This window comes from Homo sapiens, chromosome 7, assembly GCF_000001405.40.
Source record: "Homo sapiens chromosome 7, GRCh38.p14 Primary Assembly".
NCBI classification, from domain to species: Eukaryota; Metazoa; Chordata; class Mammalia; order Primates; family Hominidae; genus Homo; species Homo sapiens.
This window is the reverse complement of record NC_000007.14, coordinates 93,004,586-93,006,736: the sequence shown is the minus strand read 5'-3', so window position 1 is coordinate 93,006,736 and position 2,151 is coordinate 93,004,586. Positions and strand designations below refer to the sequence as shown.

Here is a 2,151-nt window from a genome sequence, read left to right as displayed (position 1 = left end):
TTCACCAGTCGCCTTGCTTATGGCTTTAGAACTTGCAGATGTGTGTTATCTGCTCCTGCTGTTTGGTCAACTTCAAGTGCTTCTAATCTTTTTATAACTAGTTCTGTTGGCTGTTATCTAGATTCCTTGTTGCGCCTTGTCTATTGTAAAGTTTTAACAGATCTCCACCCACTTCCCTGGCAATTAGAAGGGTAATACAATTATTTAACAATGTGCTAGAACCTTCTATTGGGTATGCTTCTTAATCAGACCTTTTCGCACTTTGCCTTGTGTGTATGTGAAAAATATTACCTGAAGGTTTTTCTTAAAGTTGGATTATTATACTATTTCTTGAACCAAATACCAAGTAAGGGCCCAGTGCACTCTTCTGCCACTAACCCATCCCTCCCCAGCCTTAGGAGATAGCTATTGTTTCCTTTAATCTAGAAAGACGAATCTGACCTATTACTTTAGTTTTGTAAGTCTGTTTTTGTCATTTTCTCATATAATTTTACCACTCTTTCTATTCTGGTCCTTATCTGTGTGGCTCTATAGTCACCGAAATCACCAGCTCTGTATTTAATCACAGGATAATGTGGGGTATTAGAAAAAGCAATGGACTTTGAATCAAGAGAGGTCAGTTTTCATCTAGGCCCTGCCACTAACCAGCTATATGACCTTGTCAAGACAGTTCACTTCTCTGGGCTTCAGGTTCCTCACCTGCAAAATATCTAGAGAACACACTTCCCCCTTTGGTTTTGTGATCTGAGCACCTCCACCTCTGAAACACCTGTCCTTATGTCTATGGGCTTCCCATACATTCCTGACCACCTAGCAAAGAACAGCTTTTACTTTCTCTCAATATTTCACTCTTAGTTTTTGTCAAATGTCCTCTCATATGCTTTCTCACTAGCCCCAAGCAATTCAGCTTAATCCCAGCATAAAGAAACCAATCATTACTGAATATTAGATATAGGTCCACTAATCTAACTAGAGTTAGACCCAGTAACTATTGTCTATGTAATTTAAAAAATGTTAGTCATGTAATTTTTTCTTAAACCATAAAAATATAATTTATAATTTAAAAATGAAATTGTACATTTCTTGGCCAACTTGTGAAGTTGTCTGGAATTTTTTTTTCTTCAGAACCCAATTCATAAAAAAGTGGGATGCAGCTACTCAGGAGGCTGAGGCAGGAGAATCACTTGAACCCGGGAGGCGGAGGTTGCAGTGAGCCAAGATCATGCCATTGCACTGCAGCCTGGGCAATAGGGCAAGACTCTATCTCAAAAAAAATAAATAAATAAAAAGTGGGCTTATGAGGAGGGTAATGAAGGTGGTAAGCTATAACCCATATTTATTAGCCTCATTCTATGCAGAACATATTAAAAGGTCAATAACCAGATGTATTGCATTCTTAGAAAGGCGAAAATAAATTCCAAATGAGAACTTAAAGAATCACTCAATCTTTCTTGAGACTTGCAAAGTTCTTTTCTCCTCAGAGCCCAAGACTCTCCCTGGTTGCCACTTAGAGTAGAGCCAATTCCCTATAGCAACAGAGCTCAGGGTTTCCAGGAAACTCCCTTAGGGTCTGAGCAGGAGCCTTAAGATAGGAGCTACCTACAACTTGGGTCCAAATCCTTGTATTATCAGACACCTACAGCCAGGGTGAGGACCAGTTAACCATCGTGACATGCAGAAAGCAGCCCAGAGAATTTTACTGACCACATGCTACACCCAGCTCTGGACTAACAGTCTCCTTCCTACAGTTATGCAGTAGGAACAAAAAAACACCTTCACTTGAGGATGAACCTATGTTAAAACTGAAGAGGCTAAGTGTGTCTTTTGCGGTGTTTTCCTTTGAATGTAAACTCTGTAAACTGAGGGGGTGGTGCTGTAGACACTGCTTGTTGCACATTTGCTCTCCTCTCCAGCCCCACTTTCTTGGCTGGCTTCAAGTTCCGCATCTCACTAGACCACCCCATAGTTCTTGAGTGGCCATCCTATCTTCAGCCTCACTCTACCTGCTGTCCACCTTCCATATCATGGTCAGATTACTCTTGCCAAAACTCTATTCTGACTGGGATTTCCCTATAGAAAGCCTTTCAGTCACTCCTGATCATCCTCAAGATACAGTCAAAGTTCTTCACCATTTCCTGCCCAATGTCCTCC

At 40.8% G+C, this 2,151-nt stretch overlaps 1 annotated feature.

Annotated features, from left to right (window-relative positions):
• Positions 1,396-1,851: a transcriptional cis regulatory region, noted in NCBI's record as "candidate enhancer chr7.3172 targeted for multiplex CRISPR interference". NCBI's record gives its function as "positively regulates CDK6 gene expression with high confidence in K562 cells {active_cell/tissue: K562}" and the evidence as "EXISTENCE:mutant phenotype evidence [ECO:0000015][PMID:30612741]".